The following is a 27115-nucleotide window of genomic DNA, read 5'->3' on the forward strand; positions in this document are numbered from 1 at the left end:
TAACTGTAACTACTTGTAGGCATTCGGAAGAATAAACCTTAAAATAATTTATTGCTTTCATGGTGATTTTATTGAAAACGTCACTTCCTTTAAATCATTTCATCAATTATTCTCATAAGAAAATACAATGTCAGTGAAATAAACAGAAAATCAAATACCACATGAACTCACTTATAAGTTAGAGCTAAATGACGGGTACACATGGACACTCAGAGTGAAATAATAGATACTAGAGCCTCCAAAATGTTGCGGGGAGGAAGTATTGAAAGGTCACCTGTTGCGTACAATGCTCACCATTTGGGCGACGGATACATTAAAAGCTCAGACTTCACCATATATGGATGTGAGACATCTGCACTTATACCCACTAAATACAAATAAGTAAATGACTGACACGATATTATATTATCCAATAACAATTACTCATACTAGTAATTTCTTTAAGAAAGAACAGCTGTGGCTGGGCATTGTGGCTACACCTGTTACCCAATACTCTGGGAGGCCAAGGTGGGAGAATTGCTTTAGGCCAGAAGTTTGACACCAGCCTGGGAAACATAGTAAGAATGTGTCTCTAAAAAAAATTTTAAAAATCAGCCAGGCATGGTGATGCATGCCTGTAGTCCTAGCTTCTCAGGAGGCTGAAGAGGGAGGATTGCTTGAGCCCAGGTGTTTGAGGTTACAGTATGCTATGATCACAGCACTGCACTCCAGCCTGAGCAACAGAACTCACATCTGTAATCCCAGAACTGTGGGAGGCCAAGGCGGGAGGATTTCTTGAGGCCAGGAGTTCAAGGCCAGCCTGGGCAACATAGAGACCCCATCTCTACAAAAAAAAAATTTAAAAATATAATTAGTTGGGTGTAGTGGCACGTGCCTATAGTTTCAGCTATATAAGAGGCTGAGGCAGGATTGCTTGACCCTAGGAGTGTAAGGCTTCAGTGAGCTATGATTGAACCACTACAGTCCAGTCTGAGAAAGACCCTGTCTCAAAAAAAAGAAAACAAAATAGAATACTTACAAATTTATGGTGTTTTCATTCTTGTATAGCTTTGGTATTCTTGTATACTTTTGATATTACTTGTATATTGATTAACTTGTGAAAATATATCTTTGCTTAACTATTGGGTTTCTCCAAGTTTGGTCTTGCTTTTCTAAGTGTTGTATCTATATATAAAGCCTTCAGTAATTTTGCAGGTAACGGGACTTATGTTAAATATTGTCTTTTCTTCATCTATAAATGAAATAGCATTCTGATAGATGAGATTATGTAAATCCTTTAGTCAGACGATTAGACTTACTGCATAATTATATTTTAGACATGAGATCATATAGTAGCCTCAAATTGTATGACAGATTTGAGAGAAAAGGGATAAATAATCTAAAACTCACTTGAAAGTCAGCAGCCTGAGACATTCTCTGTTTCTGTGTACAAATATGTTAGAAAAATGGTTCTGAAACACTTTGACATTCCTCACTACTTAAAGATTATGTAAGAAAGTAGCAGGATGGAAACTGCCTTATTATTTTCTTTTTTCTTCTTCTTCTTCTTCTTTTTTTTTTTTCCCCCCAGACAGAGTGTCACTCTTTCACCCAGGCTGGAATGCAGTGACACAATCTGAGCTCACTGCAACCTCCGCCTCCTGGGTTCAAGCCATTCGCAAGCCTCAGCTTCCCAAGTGCGCCATCACGCCAGGCTGATTTTTGTATTTTTAGTAGAGATGGGGTTTCACCATGTTGGACAGATTGGTCTTGAACTCCCAGGCTCAAGTGATCCACCCACCTCAGCCTCCCAAAGTGCTGGGGTTACAGGCATGAGCTGCCGTGACAGCCAAAAACTGCCCTATTTTCACAGTGAATACACAAAAGAGCTATAAAATTAAAACATGAAGCTCCTTTGCAGTAATCATTAATGGAGCACAAAACCCTCAAGCCAGCCTATGAAATGCCAGTTCAATTCCGTGTCCGTTCTGTAATTCAGGAAAAACTCTACAAAAGTATCTTACAAAGGAAGTATTCTGCTTTACTAAATCTTTCCTTTAATGAAATACTGATCTGAAAACCCCTAATTGAAGTAGGATGAAATTCATTCAAAAAATATCAAGCATGTGCCAGGCACTGTATGCCAGTGAACAAAGATGCATGCCTTCACTGCATTTTAGCAGAGGGAGTAAAACAAAGAAACGGCAGGGCAGAGCACCAGGATGTCAGGCTGCAATTTTTTTTTTTTTTTTTTTTTTTTTTCTGTGAGACAAAGTCTCGCTCTGCCGCCCAGGCTGGAGTGCAGTGGCGCGATCTCGGCTCACTGCAAGCTCCGCCTCCCGGGTTCAAGCGATTCTCCTGCCTCAGCCTCCCGAGTAGCTGGGACTACAGGCGCCCGCCACCACGCCTGGCTAATTTTTTGTGTTTTTAGTGGAGACGGGGTTTCATCGTGTTAGCCAGGATGATCTCGATCTCCTGACCTCGTGATCCGCCCTCCTCGGCCTCCCAAAGTGCTGGGATTACAGGCGTGAGCCACTGAGCCCGGCCCAGGCTGCAATTTTAAACAGAGCGATTAGAGCAGGCCTCATTGGGATGGCATTTGTGCACAAAGTCAAAAGTGATGAAAAAATTATCCATGAAGTTTTGTGGGAGAAAAGCATTCTAGGCAGACACTAGCAGTCACAAAGATCCCATGGCCAGCTACACTGGAAGAATAGCAAAGATGGCCGTTGTGGACAAGGCAGAGTGAGCAGGAGGAATTCAATAGGAATTGAATGAGGTGGGGTGGAGTGCATGTAATTTAGGGCTCCATAGACCATTGTAAGCTTTCTTTTACTCAGGTAGGAAGCCATCTAAACAAGACTTAGACTTTTAAAGGATCAGCCTGGTTGCTATGAGAGTAGAATAGGTTGGGTGAGAAGAGACACAGATGAGGCAAAATAAACACCAGCCGGGAAACCACAGAAATAATCCAAGCATGCTATGATAGTGTCTTGGATGAGAATAATAGCAGTAGAGATGGTAGCTATGGTAGTGTCTTGGATTAGGGTAATAGCAGTAGAGATGGTAGCTATGATCGTGTCTTGGATTAGGGTAATAGCAGTAGAGATGGTAGCTATGATAGTGTCTTGGATGAGAGTAATAGCAGTAGAGATGGTAGCTACAATAGCGTCTTGGATTATGGTAATAGCAGTAGAGATGGTAGCTATGATAGCGTCTTGGATTAGGGTAATAGCAGTAGAGATGGTAGCTATGATAGTGTCTTGGATTAGGGTAACAGCAGTAGAGATGGTAGCTATGATAGTGTCTTGGATTGGGGTAATAGCAGTAGAGATGGTAAGATTTTAGGTAAGATTAGATGAAGGATGTGAGGAGTCCAAGATCATTTCTGCCTGAAAAGCCAGAAGAATGGAGTGGCCATTAAGTGATTGAGGACGACTGAGAAGAAAAATTTCAGAGGCAAAAATATGCTTTATTTATTTATTTTGAGGTGTCTAGTAGATACCTAACTGCAGATGAGGTGGGGTGGAGGGCAGGTAATTTAGAGGTTAATATAATCTGATGTCCTTATAATGAGATGAGATCACCAAGATGAGTACTAAGAGAGGAGGCAAGCAGCCCAAGGTCGAGCTCGGGGGCACACCGATGTTTTATCAAAATTCAGGGAAATGAAGATTGAGCCGGCAGCAAAAGACAGACTGAGAAGGAGCAGCCAGTAAAGGAGAAATGTCAAGCAAGTGTAGAAATTTGCAAGCCAACTGAAGAGTGCTTCAAGGTTAAATGCTGGCTGCTGATTAGATTTAACAATGTGGAAATCTTTGGTGAGTTTTACTAGGAGTAGAGGAGTGGAGACAAAGCCTAATCACCTGTCAGATGACCTAACCAAGTGTCCAAACTTAACAGCCTGAAAAAGCCATAACTGTATGATGCAATATGGAGACCATAGCATCACCTTGCACTCTTGCATACAAAGTTTAACCTGAAACTTAAAAAATTTAGACCTTTCAGTTTACAGGAAGTTCAAAGGGATATTAGAAGTTAAATTAATGACACTACAAAGGAAAACTCTACAAGACAACAGGCCTAGTATTTCCAGAAAGTGAGAATCTTAAATGAATCCTGTTTGGGGGATGAGGGTAGCTATTTACAAAAGAGACACATGGAAAAATCTGAAATAAGAACTTGATGTTAAATTAGGGAAGTATTTTAAGTGGGGCAGTGGTATTGAGAATATTATATAGAATCATGTTCTTAGCAGATGTATGTTTAAGTATTGTCGTGTCTACGACTTTCCTTGAAATATTTCATGTAAAGCAAATATGCCAAAATATTTTAAAAAAAGAAAAGTGGTTCTGACAGCCATTTCCAACTATTCAAACTAATTGATATTCACTTACTCAGAACTTCTTCAACCATTACTTCTTGAGAACCTACTCAATGCCAGACAGTATTCTAGGCAAGGGATAAAGTGTGTTGAGGAAACAGACATGTTCCCTACTCTCATGGAAATTACAGGTCAGTGAATAAGACTGACAATGAACCCGAGAGGTATAGAACTAAAAAGTTTGATAAATTAAAGAGAACAACAAATGGTAATGTAGATGAAGGTGGTGACTACCTCAGATTGGGAAGACAGAGGAGAAACGTTTGGGAAATTGCATTTAAGGGAAGAACCAAAAAATACAGATCTTTTTGTAAAGATTGAGGAAAAGAGTGTATTTGAAAAAAAGAAGCATGTGTGCAAAGGCAGCCTCACACTTTTCTGCTCAGTGTTCAGTTGACACCTGCCCTTGTTTTGCTTCTTCGTGGGTTATGCTATAGAAGAGGAGCATGAGGCAGCAGTGGAGAAGCAGGTAGCAGATCATGCAAAAACATACAAGAGCTCATTTCTTCCTAAATGAAAGGAGAATCCATTGAAGTTTTTCTTTTTTTCCTTTTTTTTTTTTTTTTTTTTTTTTTTGAGACTGAGTCTCACTCAGTTGCCCAGGCTGGAGTGCAGTGGCATGATCTCGGCTCACTGCAACCTTTGCCTCCCAGGTTCATGCGATTCTCCTGCGTAAGCCTCCTGTGTAGCTGGGATTACAGGCATGCCCCACCACGCCTGGCTAATTTTTGTATTTTTAGTAGAGATGGGGTTTCACAACATTGGCCAGGCTGGTCTCAAACTCCTGACTTCAAGTGATTCACCGACCTCCACCTCCCAAAGTTCTGGGATTACAGGCGTGAGCCACCACACTCAGCCCAACAACGATTTTTAAAGTAGCGTGACATGTGAAAGATCAGTCTGCCATTTTATTGAGAATGAATTAAAGCAAGGCAAGATTTGGAAGGGGCAGTCTAGTCAAGAAGCTGCAAAATGGGGTGGGTGGGGTTAGGAGGTTGAACTGGAGTGGCAGAGACACAGAAAAGTGGACAGATTGGAGCCAGTTTCCAAACTTCTGTTTACAAAGCTTTGTTAATGATTGATGCAGAAGTGAAAGGAATGTGAAGAATGACTTCTGGTTTCATGGTGCCATGAACTGTGATGAGGGTGAGCAGAGGAGTAGCAAAATTAGAGAATAACATCCAAAGATATGTTTGATCATATTCACCCAGCAATGCCTCTGATACCTCTAAGTGATTATATCAAGAAGCAGGTGGAGTGTCCAAGTTTCAGGCTCTCAAAGTCTCAACTAGAGATACAAGTTTAGAGCCTTCTTAGAGAAAGCTAAGGGCTGAGCCCTAAGGATGCCAGAACTCAGAGTTGAGGCAGTTAAGGAGGGGCCAGGAAGAAACAGGGATCAACTCAGGGCAATAATGTGAGTTCAAATACGTTCATAGACTGAGAAAACGGAGGTTGTGAATGCCTGTGAGAAAAGGAGCTTTTGTGGACAGATGAGAGTGGATTTCAGGTTGGAGTTGACTGAAGTGTTAAGAGCTTGCTTCAGTGAATCTTTCAAGGAGTTTGTCTATGAAAGGGATTAGGGAAATTAGGAACTGGAGAGGGTTATGGGGCCGAAAGGGAGAGTTTTGTCATTTGTTTTAGGTAACATTAATGACCACATATTGAGAGAAGTAATGCAGAAGAAAAGTTGATAATTCTGGAAAAGTGTAAGTTGAATGGGTTGACAAAGCCAGAGGAGATAGGACACAGAGCTCATGCCCACAGAGACGCTCCTTTCAAATAGCGGCAGCACCGGGAGAGTTTCCTCTGTTCTGGTTGTGTAATTGTGTCGAGGGTCCAATTACCTTCCTGAATTTTTTTTTAATGTAAGTAATTTGTTTTAATTGACAAGATAATGAATACCTTTGGTTTAATTTATTTTTAATAATACGAAAGGGAATATGGTCAAATATAAGTTTTCCCTGCACCTCAGGTCCTCTCCAAGGAAACCACTGTAACAGCATCCAGTGTCTTCCTTTCAGAAATATTCTATTCACAGATAAGAATATTTATGCCTATGTAGATAGATAGATATGGATATAGGTGATTCTACATTTCTGTGGTATCAGTCACATTCTGAAGAGGACAGAACTGATCCACTTAAATTCGGGTGCGGTGGTTCACACCTGTAATCCCAGCACTTTGGGAGGCCAAGGCGGGCAGATCACCTGAGGTCAGGAGTTTGAGACCAGCCTGACAAACATGGAGAAACCCTGTCTCTACTAAAAATTCAAAATCAGCCGGGCGTGGTGGCACATGCCTGTAATCCCAGCTACTAGGGAGGCTGAGGCAGGAGAATTACTTGAACCTTGGAGGCGGAGGTTGTGGTGAGCCGAGATCGCACCACTGCACTGCAGCCTGGGAGACAAGTACGAAACTCCGTCTCTAAAAAAAAATAAATAAAAATAAAAAATAAAAAATAAAGTTTTGTTTTTACAAATGGTTGAATTACAAGGGATAAAGGGACCTACACAGATAATGCAGGAATCCAGGGCTGGCAGCTATAGAGCTCACACCACCCTGGGCCCAAGGATATGATGGGGTTGCAGAGATTAGAGAGCTCAGATGTGTTTGAGAACTGAAATGAGCCACAGTTTTTTAAAAAGTGTGACATTCTTGGCCGGGCACGGTGGCTCACGCCTGTAATCCCAACACTTTGGGAGGCCAAGGTGGGCAGATCACCTGAGGTCAAGGAGTTCAAGACCAGCCTGGCCAACATGGTGAAACCCCGTCTCTACTTAAAATATAAAAATTAGTTGGGCATCTGTAATCCCAGCTACTCAGGAGGCTGAGGCAGGAGAACTGCTTGAACCCAGGAGGTGGAGGTTGCAGTGAGCTGAGATCGCACCATTGCACTCCAGCCTGGGGAACAAGAGTGAGATTTTGTCTGAAAAAAAAAACAAGAAAAACAAGTGACATTCTTGTGACAACCAAAAACACTGAAAATAAAAACAAATCATTATAATATAGTGTAGCACAGAGCAGACAAGAGAAGTGACTTTCTTACTGAAGGCTGACTGAGGCAGTCTCACAAGAAAGAACCAGGAAAATGCATAACCTGACCTAAATCTTCTCCCCACTCTAATCTGCTGATAGGGTAAGCTCAATCAAGGAGAAGTTTAGGATCTCTCAGTGTACTCTGCCTTATGGAGCTGAGGGCAGGGAGGGGAAAGCTGAAGAGTGATTCTTGGAGGGGAAAATGGAGATTTCTGACCTTCATGCATCACCACAATCAATTCACTATTCACACAACAGCTAGAACAATCGTCATTTAAAACAAATGGAAGCATATTATAAACGCTGTTCTGTCCCTCTTGCTTTCTTCCCCTGGCAATATATTTTTGAGATTGTGTCTTATCAGTACACATAGATCTGCGTTGTCTTTTTAATGGCTGTCAGGGGTTACATTGTACAGACTCCCTTAATTTATTACTAAGTTTCTAACCAATAAATATTTTTCCCTAGATTTTTTGGCTGACACAAACAATGATGCAATAAACATTTTTAAATATGATTTGGGGAAAGTACACTAGTGCGTGTATAAGATAAATTCTTAGACATGAAATGACTAGGTCTCAATATATGCACATTTGAAATTAATAGACTTTATCAAATTGTTCTCCAGTGTGCACTCTGATCAAAAGTGCATGAGAAGGCTTTTCCCATTAAATATCAGAGAGATGTTCAATGAATCTCATTGAAATTTAATTTGGGCTGCTTTGATTATGAATGATGTTGAACATTTTCTATATGTTTAAAAGTTATGTGTTTTTTTTTCTGTGAACTGCCCTGTTCAAACCCTTTACTCATATTTCAATTATATTGTTTCTTATTAGTTCCTGAGTATTCTTCATAGGATAAAGAAAATGGTCCTTTGTCTACCATATTAAAATATGCTTACCAATTTGTCTTTGTATTTGGCTATGTTTGGTCACTCAAGATTTAAAAAAAAAATATGTAGTCAAATTTATTAATGGTTCCTGGATTTGTGTCTTCATTAGAAAGGCCCTCTATATTAGTTGTTTATAAAAAGTATTCCACCATACCTTATTATGTTTTATTGCCACATACGTTTAAATCTTTCATCTATCTGGAATTTATTTTGGCAAAGGAAGAAGGAGGTCTCACTCTTTTTCTCACATGATAGCTGATTGTCTTACATCATTTACTAAGTAAAGCACTTTCTCCACTGACTTAACACTGTTAACCTAATTTGTATAAGTCTTTGTATTTATTTCTGGATTTTTAATTCTATTCTATTGATCTATCTATATTTTAATACACCAATATTAGTTTATATTTACTGTGGGTCTAGTAAATATTTTATCTACTATCGATAATCTTACCTGTTAAGCTTTAATTTCAGAATATAATATCCCCGCCTCTGTTTATTTTTATTTTTTATTTTTATTTATTTATTTATTTATTTTGAGACGGAGTCTCGCTCTGTCACCCAGGCTGGAGTGCAGTGGCACGATCTCGGCTCACTGCAATCTCCTCCTCCTGGGTTCACACCATTCTCCTGCCTCAGCCTCCCGAGTAGCTGGGACTACAGGCGCCCGCCACCATGCCCAGCTACTTTTTTGTATTTTTAGTAGAGATGGGGTTTCACCGTGTTAACCAGGATGGTCTCAATCTGCTGACCTCATGATCCGCCCACCTCAGCCTCCCAAAGTGCTGGGATTACAGGTGTGAGCCACCGCGCCCACCTCTGTTTATTTTTTATATCAATTTTAGATTTCATCATGACTTTTTAAGTTTCCCGTTAGTAGTGTTTGTGGTTATATTCTCCCAACATCTAGGTACCTTGGATGTCTTTCTCGCTTCCTCTCTCTATCTCTCATCTTCCTTCTACCTACATCTCACTATATACTCTCTCTCCTAGTTCATGGCTACCCATAAACTTTTCCTAGTCTGCCCCTGCAGTGTGTAATCAAAGATACACCAGGTTGGTCAGGCGCGGTGGCTCACGCCTGTAATCCCAGCACTTTGGGAGGCCAAGGCTGGTGGATCACTTGAAGTCAGGAGTTCGAGACCAGCCTGGCCAACATGGCAAAAATCTGTTTTCTACTAAAAATACAAAAATTAGCCAGGTGTGGTGGCAGGCACCTGTAATCCCAGCTACTCAGGAGGCTGAGACAGGAGAATCACTTGAACCTAGGAGGCGGAGGTTGCGGTGAGCTGAGATCATCCCACTGCTCTCCGGCCTGGGTGACAGAGCGAGACTCTGTCATTTAAAAAAAAAAAAAAAAAAAAGATACAGCAGGTTGTGGTGAAATAAAATGTATCTATGGACGTGAAGCAGATAACTCAAACTTGATACTTAAAACAAGTATGTTACATATTCCTGTGCATTTCAGAAAATTTACTTTGGGGCACAATATTTCTTGTATCTTTTTGTTATCGTCATCTTTTTTCCTCCAGTAAAAGAGATGAGATGGAAATAAGGCTAAATATTTTTTTGGGGAGAAATATAGTTTACAATTATTCTAAATTTAACCCATTTTGAGAAAACAAATTATGAATTTAAATTTAAAATTTACTTTTTTAAGAGTTTCTATCAAAACCTATCAGGTTTGAAACTTCCTTGTTATATAAGAAAAAGTATAACCTCAAACTGAAAATGCCACTGATTATCACTGGTTTCTACACACAGAATATCTGAGGCATCTTAATTAATTTACCTCCAAGTAATCAATTAATAATGTAACCCCTTTAATCCTTTTGGGTTTCTTGTGGTCTCATTCTACTCCAGGTTTTTAAGATTTTCTACTTGGAGCATTAAAATAGCTGTTGAGTTTATTTTGCCTTTAGTTTTTCCCTTTCCTGTCTATCCTGCACCTATTACTACCTTAATATTTTAAATATGTAGTTATCAAGTAAGTTCATTTTTGAAGACTTTCAGTGCTTTCCATGCCTAGTAAAAAATGTTCTAAATGCCAAAGCTAGTTAAAACCATTCAATTAGGGGTGAAGAGAATATATCTCCGTGGTGCATCTCTTGATGGCTGGCTTTATTTTGCCTCTGGATAAAGTTCAAAAATCCCTTGAACAGTGAATGGACTGTATATCATCACACAATCTCCCAGAAATATTGTTTCCTGCTATTTAACTTCTTGATAAGAAACCATAATCAAATGGCAGAGTTTACACCGTAGGTACTCAATAAATATAAGTCGAATGAACAAACAAAGCTACATTCTCCAAGAAAATCCCTAATGTAATAATTAATACATTTTGCAATCTGAACCCAACCTATGGTTGTACATTTAACATCTATCAGTTCAGTTTTTTCAGCTGCATATAACGCAACACATAAATGACTTAAATAATAGCAGCCACCAAATGTATTATGTCATAATAAGAAGGCAAGATATAGGTCCACATCAAAGTAGAGGAACTGCAGTCCTATTTTAGTTAGGATATGTATATTTGTTGTTTTTTTCTTTTTCTTTCTTTCTTTTTTTTTGGGTGGTGGGGGAGGGAGTTTCGCTCTGTTGCCCAGGCTGGGGTTCAATGACATGATCTCGGCTCACTGCAACCTCTGCCTCCCGGGTTCAAGTGATTCTCCTGCCTCACCCTCCCAAGTAGCTGGGACTACAGGCACCCACCACCACAGCCAGCTAATTTTTGTATTTTTATTAGAGACGAGGTTTCACCATGTTGGTCAGGCTGGTCTTGAACTCCTGACCTCAGGTGATCCATCTGCCTCGGCCTCCCAAAGTGCTGTGATTACAGGTGTGAGCCACAGTGCCTGGCCTATTTGTTGTTATAATAAAGACCCAAAATAACAGTGGCTTAAAACATCCAGAATTATATTTCTCTGTCATGAAAACCTTTGGGTAGGTGGCCCGGGGCTAGTATGCTACCCAAAGCTCAGATTACTTAGATATTTTCCTTTCATTCACTGAATGAAAGTTCTCACTATCACAGGTTCATTTCTGGAAGAAGATTGGGAAGGACAAAAAAGGAGAAATAGTTCATATCCTTCCCCTTTAGGAGCTTCATCCAGACATTGCACATGGCACTTCCATTGCCTTCAACTTAGCCACAGGGCCATGTAACTTAAAGAAAGCCTGGAAAATATTGTCTGTAACTGGTGGGGTTCTATGTCAAGACATAAATTCTATTGCTATAGAAGAGGACTGTAAATTTTGCATAACAATGTGCAACAGCTTAATGACTTTGTTAGGATGCCTGACTCTTTCCTTCTTGATCCTTGGAGACTGAAATAGTATCCCCTTCTAAAAGGCACAGGCCACGTGAAGGAGGCTAGATACTTGAGCAAGAGCAGGGTGACGACAGGAAGAAAGGGGAAAGGGCTGTGGCATGGGCATCCACAACTGTCTGCTGTGATCCTCATTCCTGTGTGCAGACTTTCTTCTCTAGCTAAACTCACTGATTTATTACTTCACAACCACATTCTGTGCTTAACTAAACATGCAGGCCCTTGTCTTCCCTCCACGTAGAAGGGGATTCCTCCTCCTTCCAGGCTACTCAAGTCTAAACTTTCTTTCAAAGATTTGTTATTCCATAAAACTTCCATACACGCATAAAACAATGGCCTATGATCTTCATTCTGTACCAGTTTTTCTAATATCTGGCATATGTATATAGAACTCATTTGCTAATTATGTTTGCATGAATAAAGACAATTTCTTTAGAATGAAACTTTCTTTATTCTTTGTTTCTCAGAGTTTGTTTTAGAGTGTCTTATGTGGAACAGGCGACTGACTGATTTGAAAGAACTTAGGGTTGTTTATTTAGGTTTAATACAGTTCAACCTGGAGACAGATGAATAGACAGATGGTTTTGCAGGTTCTTTTCCTGTGGGCCAGCAATCTTTCAAAAGACATTTTATTTACAAAACAGTGAGAAATATATTGTAAAAGTATAACTCTAAGTAAATTAGCAAAATGAGATAAAGTGAACTCTAGTTCATTATAATAAAAAAGATTTAAAAGGCAGAAAACCCAAGTTAAGTTGCTTATCTCATCATAGCAAAATTAATGATTAATAGATGTAGACCAAATATGCTTGCTTTTTTTTTAATGAAAAGTTTGGGCATAATGTCAGAGGTACAGTAAATATCTTAGCATTTAAACATTTCTATAAATAAATGCTTGTTGAAGGAGCTCCATCAATATTACAATAGTGTTTCTAGTTTTACCACTATAATGTTATGTAATAACAACATTTTAAATTAGTTACTGGAATTGTGATTATTTTTCTAAATAATTTCTATTTGAATAAAATAAATAGAAGGCAGGATAAAATAAATAGAAGACACTCCATAGAGAATATCCTTTCAACTGAAATCAAAATCTAGTTAGTATAGAAATAAAAGTACTCAAATATTGTTGAGATCAACATAGAAGGTAATGCAGAAGAAAATACTATGATTATGGAAACAGCTCTGAGAGTCACGAGTATGAAAAACAGTATTCAAGGAAGCAAGAATTCTAAATATATTTCTTGTCTTAATAAGCAAAAATAAAATTTCATGCTGAGATGAAGGGAACAACTCATAAATTAAGGAGGCAATTTATACTGGAATAATAACTTATAAATTGTTTTAAATAATGGGCCAATCATTTACAAAAATAAGCTATCAGTAACCTAGAAGCAGTCTTTTCTAAAGTTTAGAACAAGGCATATTTAATGTCCAGGTGTAAAGTTGGCATTAGTCTAAAAGCAAATTAAATATCCTAGCACTGTTATATGTATGTGGTCTAAGCATGGGGAAAGTCTTAGCTGACCCTGAGATTGAGAATGCTGAACTTGATTTTATGAAGAAGTGAAACTGCCTTTATAGTCAGTGATCACTTTCTATGAATTATATGAAGTCTACAGTCAGGTGCAGAAATGATTTAACTTGCTAAATGAGATTACAAAGATTATTATATGTCACTCTGAGTAGATCAGATTAAAACATGGCAGGAGGACCTATGGAAAAGCAGTCTTAGGAGAAATGACTGAACAGATCGTGTTAGCCCTGGCTGCAGGCTGTCTTCTCTCCTTGTGCTCCCTTCCTGGGCTGTTTCTCCTCCTACTCAGCAACTGCATTCTCCTTTGAGCCCCCGCTGCAGAGAAGTGCGATGCGCTAGAGCCTTGCTATTCCAACCGTGGTTCTCTGCCCGACCACATGAGCATCACCTGGGACCTTGTTAGGATCTCAGAATCCCAGACTCCAATCCTGACCGCAAGAATCAGAATCTTTAAGATTTTCAAGAGATTCCTATGCACACAAAGGTTTGAGAAACACTACTTTTGAGTGCCAAGGATTCGGTTTATACAGAACAGCAGTTATTCTGATACACACGGCACTGTTCATTGCGCTTGGTACCACCAGAACATATTTCCATGTGGATTTCTGGAGTCATGGTGCTATGACTATGGTTTTCATTTCAGGTTTTACAAGACCAAATATGGTTTTAAAGGTAACACAAAGACATTTTATTTTAAAATGTCTATTTTAACTTTAAGCACTGTAGATAAAAAGCCTTCAACGTGCGTTGATGATTACCAAGGCATACAGTTATGCTGTCAGGCTAACATTTTTTAGATTTGAAATAAAAGTTCTTCCACTATCCCTGCTTAATTAAACAATGTCCATAAACTACCAAGTAAGCTACTACAAACAAACAAATCTGGTACCATTTGCAGCTTCTTCTATTTGTGATTCCCAAAATTCCCAATGCTTTGCAATTAAAATCAAGTTCAGAAATAAAAGAGATGCTATGGGTAAAATAAAAGTGCAACTGTCATCCACAGCCCTGGATTGAATTGCAACATCCATCTAACCAGCCACTCTGTCCATGTTGATTTATTTTGCTTTAAGTAATTGCAGCCCATTTGACCTTCCAAAATATAGCTTTCATTTGTCTTATGTATTGGAGTCTAAATGAATTTTATTTGAATAAAATGCATTTGATTCTAAAGCATTTTGAAAGCTGGAACTAAGTATGAGTTCGATGGAGAAGGCAGGGCTGTCTGGAGCCCGAGTTAATTGGATGCATCACTTCTTCTGGAGTCACTTGATCACAACAAATTGACACCTGCCAACTTCTCCCCTGTACCTTCCTGATCCCGGTCAAGTCATTCTCAAGTAGAAGCAGTCGAGTCATTTTTATTCATTTTTGATGTGAACCAAACTTTCAAGCTAGGACTTGCCATGAAACAAATTACACATTCCTTGTGGCTACTAAAAAAATTAGTTTATTAGCGCAAGAGTCTGGATTTGAGAATAAAATCATAGATACAAATAATCTATATTTCTCACAGTAAAAGAGATATTTCTTCTGAAATTACTTGTTTCTTGGTGGTGTAACATTCTAGCATTGCATTCATCCATTCTTTCAGTCAATGTGTCAATAGGCAGTTACTGAGCATGCACCTAGTTATGTAAAGAATTATAAGATAAAAACCCCTAATTGTAGGAATCTCAGTTCAGAAGAGACAGGTGCTCAACAAACCATTGCTAAGCAATGTAATAATGGTGTATTGGACATAGGTTACTAGTTCTGTGGAAATACAGAAGAAATAATAGGAAAGGGGTAGCTAGGTTAATTAGTATTTTGTTTTGCTTGGTAACTGGTCCTAACTTTTAAAATATATATATATGGCGATAGGGTTTGCAATTATATTTGAACAAGTTGGTTAGGAAATAAAACATTTTCCACCATTAAGAATTAGAATACCTATAATCATCACAGGGAGAATGTCAATTTTCAAAATAAGAATCAGGCCCGTGTGGTGGCTCACGCCTGTAATCCCAGCACTTTGGGAGTCCGAGGCAGGTGGATCACGAGGTCAGGAGATCGAGACCATGCTGGCTAACACAGTGAAACCCCGTCCCTACAAAAAATACAAAAAAATATTAGCCGGGCGTGGTGGCGGGTGCCTGTGGTCCCAGCTGCTCGGGAGGCTGAGGCAGGAGAATGGCGTGAACCCAGGAGGCAGAGCTTGCAGTGAGCCGAGATCGCGCCACTGCACTCCAGCCTGGGCGACTGAGCGAGATTCCGTCTCAATAAATAAATAAATAAATAAATAAATAAATAAATAAATAATCGGCCGGGGGCTGTGGCTCATGCCTGTAATCCCAGCACTCTGGGAGGCTGAGGTGGGTGAATCACTTGAGGTCCGGAGTTCGGCACCAGCCTGACCAACATGGTGAAACCCTGTCTCTAATAAAAATACACAAATTAGCTGGATGTCGTGGTACACACCTGTAATCCCAGCTACTTGGGTGGCTGAGGCAGGGGAATCATTTGAACCCAGGAGGCGGAGGTTGCAGTGAGCCGAGATGGTGCCACTGCACTCCAGCCTGGGTGACTCTGTCTCAAAAATAAATCAGTAAATAAATTAATAAATAATAAAAATAAGAATTATAAGAAAGAAAAATATTAAAATTGTATCTAAATAAAAAATACTTTTAAAGAAATCCTTAATACTGAATTTTTGAAGTACAGTTGGACCTCTGTATTTGTGAATCCATCAGTGGATCCAACCAATGGCAAATAGAAAAAAATTAAAAATAATACGATGATAAATCTAAGTAATCTAGAGATGATTTAAATTATGTGGGAGGCTGTGCATAGGTTATATGCAAATACTACACCATTTTATAACAGGGACTTGAAAATGCGTGGATTTGGGTATCTATGGGGTGGGTGGGGATTGGTGTGGAACAATCCCCTCACAGATAGAGAGGGATGACTTGTATTCATTAATCTCACTTGATGGATATATCCTTTTTGCATGCGTGTAAGAACACAGTAATCTTTTCTATCATCGAGATGATTTTCTACTCTGCCCATTATTTACACCACATTTAGATTCCAGCCTGGTTTTCCTCTGCTACTTAGTACCCTTCTGCACTACTTCCCCCGAATTAATTGATATAATGAGCTGATGTAAATTACTTTCAATATTAGGCTGAGCTAATATTAACCCGCAATAATTTAGAAAGTAAATATACCATACAACACCATATACGTACTGAATTCCAAAATTAAGTATCAAGGATGTTTTAGTTTCATGTAATTTTGAAGTGTCTAGCCCATTGCTTCCTTCCATCATATGCAGAACCACCTGCTCTGGATGTAAACACCTTCTGCTGTGTGTGTTCCCACGCCTCAGGGCCTGTACAGAATAGTGGCTATAGGAAAGGACCCTCACAACCCTGCACCTCCCACTGCTTTCACTCTTCCACCTCCTTATCAGTGCTTTTCTCGCCTATTCTGCTAGGAATGATTTTCAACATTTTAATCATAAACATACAACTCTTCTTTTCAGGCCCGGGTGAAATGTTCTGAACTTTATGAAGCCTTTGTTTATCATCCACTTGTAACTCCTCTAGTATCCAAATTTCTATAGCATTTCGTGTATCTTTTATGACTCATCAAATTCTTCTGGGTTTGCATTTTTCATGAATCAGATCCCCACCCCACCTCCACTCAAATTTGGAGATGAAACATCTTTGTAGCCTTGATAACACTGAGCCCAAATTTTATAAAAAAGTAAGTGTCTATTAAATTTAGGGTGAATTTTCCATCCCTCATGATAATTCAACAAGATGCTTTTGTTTATATTGTATTTTTCCCCAATGTTCTTCCTCTCATTTTCTTCTCTTGTAGTCCTGTCCATTCATTGAGTCTCAACCTAAAAGCTTTTAATTGTGCCCAAAATGTACATGATTCCTCATGTGAAATCCCGTAGTACTTTATTTGTCCCTGAATTATGCTGTTTTTCATTTCTTCCTTGCACTGTAGTTTTCATACATACTGTATCTACTTCTATATGAACTATGAGCTCTTCTGCAAGGCTGTGAATACAGTCGTAGTCATCTTCTATTTTCCGTAGTGCTGTGCATATAGCAGGTGCTCAATCAATGTTTGTTTCAGGAGTAAAAGTTTGTAAAAAGTTGTGGAAGAACAGCAAGCTACTCAGAGCCAGGGGCTCCATGCCAAACTGAGCCAAGCCCAGCTACAGGTGGTTTTAGGCATGGCTAGTGGTAAATTGAGAACAGGAGTTGGAGAATGCTATTTCTGAGGCCAGCTCTATCAGATTTTGTAGCAGGGAGCTGCTAGGGCATTATGATAAAGGGGTGGCTCTTTATCTGTCCTTTGCCAGTGACCCATGATTATAGATTCTGCTATTTTAATCTGGGAAAGTTTTCCTGTTTTTGAGAGTTCCCTACTAAAGTCTAGATGTCCTTTGTGAATACTGGTACATCACAATGAATACCTTTGTTATCTGTGAGCATCTTCAGCAGGATTATAACAAAAATCAGGTTGTGGGGTAGATGGAGACAGGAATTGATGGGAGGGATGAGTGGATGGAACCAGGAGAAAGGGTTTGTGCCATTGAAACAGGGGTGTTTCAGGACAAATTTCAGCCTCACAATTTCTGAGGTACAGTAAAGCTGTGCCCTGGAGGCTGTGTTTCAGAAATCTAAAGCTTCCGTTTATTGGCCCACTATTTCCTGCCTATTAGTTGTCTGTTAATACTTCATGAACATTATCCTCAAACCTTAAAATTATTTGTAAGATAGAATTATCCTATTTTTCAAAGGTGAAAACTAAGGTTCAGAAAGGTTCAGTTAAGTAGCTACAATTAGTCATCTTAATAAAAAGATATAGATTTGAACACAAAACCTGTATCTTTCCTTCTGTATTATGCTTGCTGCCTCTTTCAGCAGGCTGCTTTAGTTATCCAGTGGGAAATAGGTGTTTGGGAGACTTAGAAATCTTTTCTTTCTAAGTTAGTATATTTTCATTGCTGTTATCATGACGTTATTTCAAAAACTCAAATTGCTATGAAAAACTTGATGATACCCCTCTTTACGTCAGTTTTTGGCTTGACAAAGAATAGAATAAAACAAGAAATAAGACAGCTTATCTTCGATCTTTCACCAGGAGGGAACTTAGCTGCTGTCTTTGTTTTGGGGTAAAAGAAAAATAAAATGAATCTGTGATATTCAAGTAAATCCCTCAGTTGTTTGTTAGTGTCTACTGTTTACTCAAAAATGGGAAGCTCCAGGTCGGTGATACATCATCTTTGTTGCGCTTGGCACCTTCTTTCATGAATCATATTAATCTGCTTAAACTAACAAGGATTAATTGCCTTGGTAAGGCAACCTGGCATTGAAATGATATATTGCCCAGACAGCTTGGAATTTGGCCACTCATAAATCTCATTTGTTTGTTGGTTTATTTCTGTTTGTCTCTCTCTCTGACAGATGTGTGCCCAATCACTGTGAGCATGGTGGAAAGTGCTCGCAAACATGGGACAGCTTCAAATGCACTTGTGATGAGACAGGATACAGTGGGGCCACCTGCCACAACTGTGAGTGCCAATTTATCTCACTTTAATCTTGTAATTGCATGAGAATCTCAAGTCTTGAGCTGTGCTTTGAAGCTCAGCAACCTGAATAATCCACATAATACATCACTCGAATCTGAAAAACCAAGATTCCAATTGTCATTTCTCCAAAAAAAAAAAAATAAAATACACTATTCTACTTGTTAAAATATGTTCTCTGGTGGCAAAGGACTCAAAAAGAAGGACCAGCATTTCCTCTGTTCCATAAACACATAGTTGAGATTGGAAGTCCAAACTTGGATTCGCCTCTCTGTGTCTAACCCACATCTGTTGGGTCGATTGTTTGGGAAATCGTGTTAGTGTGATGTCTCTGACTGGACCCTCATTTATTAATTAATCCGAGAGGGAGACACAGGGTAATTGGAACATTTAGTTTCTGGATGATGGCTGCCTCATGCTTTAGCCCAACTATTTGACTACCTTTTTTTAGATCAAAGAAATGAGTCCGAAATGGAATATCTAAAAGCCAATAGATAAAATACATAAGAAGGTAATAAAATGAAGACATAAGAGGGTAAAAATATTTTAAAATGGCAAAAATAAAAAGTAACATGCAAAAATGACTAGGAAAACACATATGTGCCTTGGTTTATATAAATAGCTTTATTCCAAAAGGTTAAATAAAAAATAAATTTCTGTACTTAAAAAATTTAATGCTAACTCTTATAATTATAATATTAATTTTCCAATAATGCATCGCCATTTGCAGAACGCTTTTGAAAACAAAGCACTTTTGAAAACATATTTGGCATGAATCACATAATTACAAGAAGAGAGTCAACTGTTGGTTAGTGTGTGCATACGTATGTGCCTGTGTGTGTGTGTGTGTGTGTGTGTGTAGGGAAGGAAGAGCAAGAGAAAAAGAGAGATTCAACCTTCTCTCAATATGCCCAAACACTGAAACTCTAATATCTAAATCCTCCGATTATACAAACAGATTTCACTTTACTTTTAGGAAATGGTGACAAGCAAACTATCTCAGAGTAGAGCCCTGTGTACAGTAAAAATGTCATACAGCTCTCTAAGCCTTTCCATTGTGTTATTTGTAGTAATGTGCAAGAAGAAATCGTGTTTTGAATATATTGTAAAATGTTGACTTACAAAGTTGCACACATTTATTTGTTTAGGTAGATATTCAAAAACAAGAGGCAAAGGAAATCTTGACAAAACTAACAATAGAAAGATGTCAAGAAGGTCAAAATTGATACTAGATTCATTATCTGTGTTTACATATATGAAAGTATTTTAATGAATAAAGAACAAAAATGATTGATACTGAAATTAATTCAAAGAGTTATAACTAAAATTGTTCCTTACCAATCACATCAAAATATTAACCTCCAGTATGTGACATTTATTAAATATAACGTGATGCTAGAATTACATTGATGAAACTCAGTGCCTTCACTCCACTAGCATAATTTTTATCGTGTGTTATAAATACCATATTTAATTACACGGGATCTTGTTCCTGAAATACGATAATGCTAACCAATGGTCAAGAGCAAGAAATCGGTGGTGGTTGCAAGGATTTTCTATCTCAGTGATGGCTTTTACATTGAACTGAAAAGCAACTTATTCTTTTTTTATAACTGTTTCCATCCTTAAAATACACAGCAAAAAGGCAAAAAAAAAAATTAAAATGTATGCTACTGGTTGAGTAGCTGAGGTTTGTTTTGTTTTTTAAGGGTAATGACTCCAAGGATTAGAAATGTCCTAAGTGTGTTTAGGTTTGGTGCTAGTGGCCAGCTCCAAAGGTAAAAGACAAAAATTGTCTTTTGTTCTGCTGCTCCTTCCTACTTGTTCCTTGCTCCATTTTGTTGGATCTTTAAAAGCAGAATCATTCTTTTTAATAATAAAAGCCTGATCTTTTGTTGTCTTCTCCAAATGAAGCCAAAATTTTGAATATCCAACGTGTGCATAAATAGAGGTGAAAAGACCATACTACATAATTCAAGAGAGGGTTGGCTGGTGACTTTTTCTTTCGAAAAATATACATTGTAGCTTATTGAAGGCCATTTGCCTCCTAATAACCTGAAAGACTTGATACAGTCTTACTTATCCAAATGGATTAGTTAAAAATTTCACACAGCACAAATGTAAGAAGATACAATGTATGCCATTCAGTTTGACACAGAATGAACAATTTTACATTTTTGCGAAATCAATGACCACATTCAAAGCAAGAAGAACGAAGTGCGAAGGCCCCAGTTTCTGATGTGTCTGACGCTAGCTATAAAACCATCAGGCCGTGTGCCTTTGTGGTCAATCATTTGACTTTTCTTGCACTTTGTTCGACTGAAGTCTCTTGGTATTCTACAAGCCAGTGAGCTGAGATTTGCAGTTGCTTATTCTGTATTCTGTGGGTTTGAACTGTGTAAGTAACATAAAATATTTTGCTTCATTATTTCCTGCAGAAGACCAAGCATTCATCTTGAAAAGAAATCATGCTAATTATTTTAAATAGTATTTTTTTTTAAAAAAAGCAGCTAACTAAGAGCTAAAGTTTAATATAATAGAACATTTGTTAGAGTTTCAAACATTACAGGCTACAATATTTTAGCACACCTTCTACACTAGCCCGGGCTTGGTCAGGATGAGACAGCAGTGCTATGAGTGACCTGTGATCATCCAGGCTAGAAGCTCTAGTTCAAGATGGAACAGAGAGGCCTTTTTGCTTGGTCACTCTGCCTTGTGTTGACTTTGACTTTACCATTTTCTTACTTGTACCCTAGGCCATTTAAATTATTTGAGCTTCAGTTTTCTCCTGTAGGAATAGATAATTAACAGTGCTCACCTCTTCAAGCCATTGTGAGATTAAATGAAATGATGTACGGAAGATGCTGAGAAAAACTTTGGCTTATGTGGTACTCAATAAATTTTTGTCATTTCATCACTTTCAGAGCAATTGTCCTTTTCCTTTGAACTTCTATACCAATAATTGCCCAAATCACACAATGTGTCTCTTAATTTAATGTCACCATACATTGTTTGCTATCACTTTTATGGCAGATTTGGACTGCAGTGAATGACTGGTTTCCATAGTATTTTTCTCCAGAAGAATTGAAGAGTATGCCTCCTAAACCTATGTCTCCTGTTTTCATTTGTTAGTTTGTGTGTACATGGGGACTTTGTTTTTACGTAAATTATATGTAGGGCTTAGAGGACTGTCATTTGTGAACTGCTCCCCTGAGGAGCCAGGATGTCTCCCTTTGGGATGAGTAGACAACTCAATCCCACAGACAAAGCCAAAGATCACAGAAGATAGTCAGATCACAGGAAAGGGAAAGCCAGTTTTTGTCGTTTAAGAACAAAAGAGGCAAGTTTGTTACAAAATGCAAATACATTAAATTGTTGAAGTTTTAAACTTGAAAAAATTTTCTCATACAGGCATTCCACTCTCCATAAATCCTTTAAGATCTGAATAGTAGCATATCTGAACACCAAACCATGACAAAGGGACTAAAATGATCATGTTGAACAGTTTGTGTTTATTGTATTGACTTATCCCTGCTTCAGTCTCCCAAAAGCACTGTAAGAATGTATCTTTTGCTTGGAGATGGAGTCTTGCTCTGTCACCCAGGCTTGAGTGCAGTGGCATGATCTCGGTTCACTGCAACCTCCACCTCCCAGGTTCAAGCGATTCTGCTGCCTCAGCCTCCCAAGTAGCTGGGACTACAGGCACGTGCCACCATGCCCAGCTAATTTTTTGTATTTTCAGTATAAATGGGGATTCACTGCGTTAGCCAGGATGGTCTGGATCTCCTGACCTCATGATCTGCCCGCCTTGGCCTCCCAAAGTGCTGGGATTACAGGCATGAGCCACCATGCCTGGCCAAACATTCTTATATATACTACTAGTTCCTTGTGTGGAACTGCTCTAAAAATTCCTTAGAATATCCTCAATAATATGAAAACTTTTGGCTAATTTAATGAATGCAAGAGGTTAAAGGATAGTATTTTAGTGTTCGACAAAAATAAGCAATGTTAGCCTTGGAAATTTATTAAATGTCAGATGTGCATTCTGACAGAAAATATTTTTGCAGATCTTTTTATTAAAGGAGAGATTTTCATGTTGCCCAAATATATAGACGTAATGTTTCCAGGGGAAACAGGAGGAATAAACTAGATGACCTATATAATTCTCTTTTAATTTTAAAATCACGAGATTTAAAAATTCTGAAATACTAGTAAGGAACAGGTCCTGACATTGCCAAATAAAGCAAAAGTAAAATTTTTTCTAGCCAATGTTAGAGAAAAATTTAAATGTAAACGGTAACAATTGTACATTCCGTATGCTGGAGCATTTCCTCTGGGTTCATAAATGTGTAAACTGTAAATTGTGTTGCACCTTATTACAGCACACGTGAGAGGCGCAGTGGATTTCAACAGCCCATACCATGTTGTTGATAATCCATTTCACCTATAATTGATATAATTCAAAGAATAATTTTCAAAATAAATTGAATTCTATTTGCTGTAGTCATACTAACATAGAGCATAAAGACCTAGATTTATTGGCACGAAGAAACTTGGTGTCTCTGTCCATTTGGAGTTTCTACAACTTAGGCATCAATGATAACTTGGAGTTTGAGCATTGCTACAAAAACAAGCAGCATTGGGTAGAATTGCGTTGGATATGGTATTAGTCTGTTCTCACACTGCTATAAAGTAATACCAGAGACTGGATAATTTAGAAAGAAAAGGGGTTTGACTCACAGTTCCATGTAGCCGGGGAGGCCTCAGGAAACTTACCATCATGGTGGAAGGCGAAGGGGAAGCAAGGCCCTTCTTGACATGGTGGCAGGAGAGAGAATTGCAAGCGAAGGGGGAAGAACCCCTTATAAAACCATCATCTCGTGAGAACTCACCCGCTGTCATGAGAATAGCATGGAGGAACTTCGCCCATGATCCAATCACCTCCCTCCCTTGGCATGTGGGAATTACAGGTCCCTCCCTCAACACGTGGGGATTACAGTTCAAGGTGAGATTTGGGTGGGGACACAGAGCCAAACCATAGCAGGTATCTAAAATAAAATTTAGATATTTAGCCTTAGGGAATTGGAATCCATCCTTTGGGGCAAGTTCACCTGGCTTGCCAGGTCCTACGTAATATGGCCATGTCTTTAACCTGATTTCCTCCCCTACATCTCCTCCCATTCTCCCCTTCAATGCACTGGCCTCCTTTCAGTTTTTGATGCATGCCCTGCACTCTCATACCCTTGCCCCTCCTATACCACGACCCCCCACCACAGGACATTTGCACATCTACCTCTCTGCTTTGTCTAGTACATTTCTACTCCTCCCTCAGATTTCAGCTCAGCAGTCATCTCAGAAAAGCTTTCCATGGCCCTGTAGTTAGATCAAATCCTCTTATTCTAAAACACACATATGTCTTTTAGCACTAGCAATGGTTATGATTTTGCACTTATTATTCATAATGATTTAATAATATCTTTCTCCTCCACTGGTCTCTGCATCTCTGGCAGGAGGTGGTGCCACATTTCATCCACCAGTTTAAATCTGAGGCTCGCCCAGCACAGACTATGCACGCAGTGAATATGCACTGCCTCCAAGCATTCTTGAATGTCAAAGAGTATCCAGAGCAACAGTGTTTTCTTTAAATTTTATTCAATGCCCTCTTTACAGTAAATTTATGAAGATAGTGAAGCTATAAGGAGAGAGTACACTTACAGGGCAAAAAGAAAAATAGAATCAAGTCCAATAACAAAATATGGGTAAATGGAAGGCAGGGTACTAAAAATAATACCAAAAACTACCACAAGACATTAAACATTATTCTAAGAAATTATATGGAGGAATTTAGGATATTAGCAAAAAAAATCTACATATTTCAAATTATCTTTAAGGAAAATATTGTGCCATGTTAAGATGCCCCATTCATTACTGAAATTTGTGAGAACTATGACATTATAGTAACAATAGCAAAGGAAGTTGCAACAAAGATAATATCTTAGATCAGCACTCTCCAACGTTTTTGGCACCAGGGGCCAGGTTCATAGGAGACAGTTTTTCTACAGACCAGGGTGGGGGAAGTGGGTAAGGGGATGGTTCCAGATGAAACTGTTCCACCTCAGATCACCAGGCATTAGTTGAATTCTCATAAGGAGTGCACAACCTCGATCCCTCACATGCACAGTTCACAATAGGTTTCAGGATCCTATGAGAATCTATTGCTGCCGCTGATCTGACAGAAGACGGAGCTCAGGCGGGAATGCCTGCCTCCTGCTGTGAGGCCCAGTTACTAACGGGTTGGGGACCCCTTACATCATAGAGTGTGGTCAATTACTATACTGGCTAACTATAGGAGTTATTCTAAAATAGATACAGATATGTTTAAATATTGACTAGTACATGACAAGAAGTTTATTTTAAACTCTATAAAATTTGAATAACATGAACATAAAAATCTTTTGATTTATCATGTAATATTATATGTGTATCCTTGCTACAGGGAAGTTATGGAGAGGGGAAAACACTCAGGGTTTGAAATTAGATGTCCTGATGTCAAACCATCAGATCCTTAGGCTATGTGGCCAAACTTACTTCCCCATCAGTTGGACATGTCTAAGTTCCAGAAAAATGACTGTCTCCATACTTTATAAATTCTCTGTTTCCTCAAACACGCTTGCTGCATTAAGTGTGGATTTCACTCATACTTATAGAAGGTGAAGTCAGCTTTTCCAGTCCATGCCACAGGTTACTGACAGCAATAAAATAGGAATGATTCAGATTTAATCACTTTCCTCCCCATCTCTCCGCCCCCGCTCCTCTGTGCTATCTTGGTTTTGTGTTTTTAGACACGTCATTTAATGTCTCTAAACTTAAGTTTCCTTTTGAAAATTCAATGAGATATTGTTTATTAAAGTACTTTTTAATGTACCCCAGAACTTAAAGTATAATAAAAAAAAGTGCTTTTTAAATTCAGAAAATGTCCTACTTTTAAAGAACTTATGCCACTAAGTTTCGAAAAACAGCTAGTCAAATTTTACTTTGAGTGTAAGTCGCATCTACTGATCCGTATACTCTTCATTCGGTACACAGGCCATATTTTCATATCAGTGATTCTCAATGAAAAGACCATAGGATATCTCAGTATTTCAATAAATGCTCTTTGAAAAGATAAAGGTTTTTATTAGCAAGTATAATAGCCACACTAGCTGATTTATATGCATGGAGTACATCTACTCTTTCTAATCGAGATATGGTATTATCTAGTCAGGTTGTGCTTCTGTGTTATCAAGTGAGCAACTACCAAATTCCTTCAATTTACTTTCCATCCCATTCCCACACCATGATCTGTGTCAGATGCTCAGTGTGTCCCTGTTATTAAGGAGTGACTATGGGATCCAACTGCAGGACCACAGGACACTAAGGACCCATAGTGCTACCATCACTTATTCATTCATCAATATATTGAGAGCTGACTCCATTCCATACATGGAATAGATACTGGAGTGTGAAGTAGAGAGGGCAGGAATACTAGGATGTAGCCCCCTCCAAAAATGTGTATAGTTTCATTAAAAATAAAAGTTCTTATCACCTTATTTCCACATCTCTGGTTCACCAGGATTGTGATCTAGGAATAAATTCTATGTATTCTTACCTCTTAGAATCTAGCTTGGCATTTTTCACGCTTACAAAATATGGATACATGTAGACACATAGGGGAAAAAAATGATTTAATACTTTGTCACAAATTATTTGTTTTAAGCAATTATTTTAACTTTTCAGATTGTATATTCAGAGGATTTGTTTGCTTTATTTCTGGGTTTGTTTTTCTAACCATATGGACAGGGAGAAATCAGGGTGAGGTGATGCAACTTCAGCATGGTGCTTGGTAGAGAATATGGTTTTCAATAGAATATATGCAAGTCAAATGTTAATAAGCCCTTGCTCAGCTGTATGTATTCTCTAGAGGAAAAGCTCGCATTCTCACCAGGACTAAAGCATTGGGAGCTAAGGGAAATAATGGCAAGTGATGTCACTTCCTGAAATCACTTTTTGCACAAGGAAACAATCATCCCAGCAGCTCCTTTACTCTCATATTCATCTGGCACCTACACAGAAAATAAGATGGAAAGAGCTGTGAAAGTACTACCTGGGTAGAAATGTTGGAAGGGGATTTAAAGGCCATTCTATCTTTTGGCCACAACCAAATAAATTACACTGGATTAAAATAGTACAGGTCATTTGGAGAAACACAGCCCAAGGACCTCTACATTTCTAAGGCAGACCAAATTTTGAATTAATCCCTTCTTGCTTCGGAATGATGACCAAGATTAAATATAGAAAGAAAGGATTTAAT

General features: G+C 38.6%; 1 protein-coding gene across 2 annotated transcripts in view; it reads left to right on the plus strand.

Annotated features, from left to right (window-relative positions):
* CNTNAP2 (contactin associated protein 2) overlaps positions 1-27115 on the plus strand; it is a 2304198-nt gene that overhangs the window by 1350491 nt on the left and 926592 nt on the right. For both annotated transcript variants that reach the window (NM_014141.6, XM_017011950.3), the window contains exon 11: positions 18644-18750. In NM_014141.6, the coding sequence (NP_054860.1) occupies positions 18644-18750 (107 nt within the window). The remainder of the gene's footprint in view (positions 1-18643; positions 18751-27115) is intronic.

Source organism: Homo sapiens, chromosome 7 (assembly GCF_000001405.40).
Source record: "Homo sapiens chromosome 7, GRCh38.p14 Primary Assembly".
NCBI lineage: Eukaryota > Metazoa > Chordata > Mammalia > Primates > Hominidae > Homo > Homo sapiens.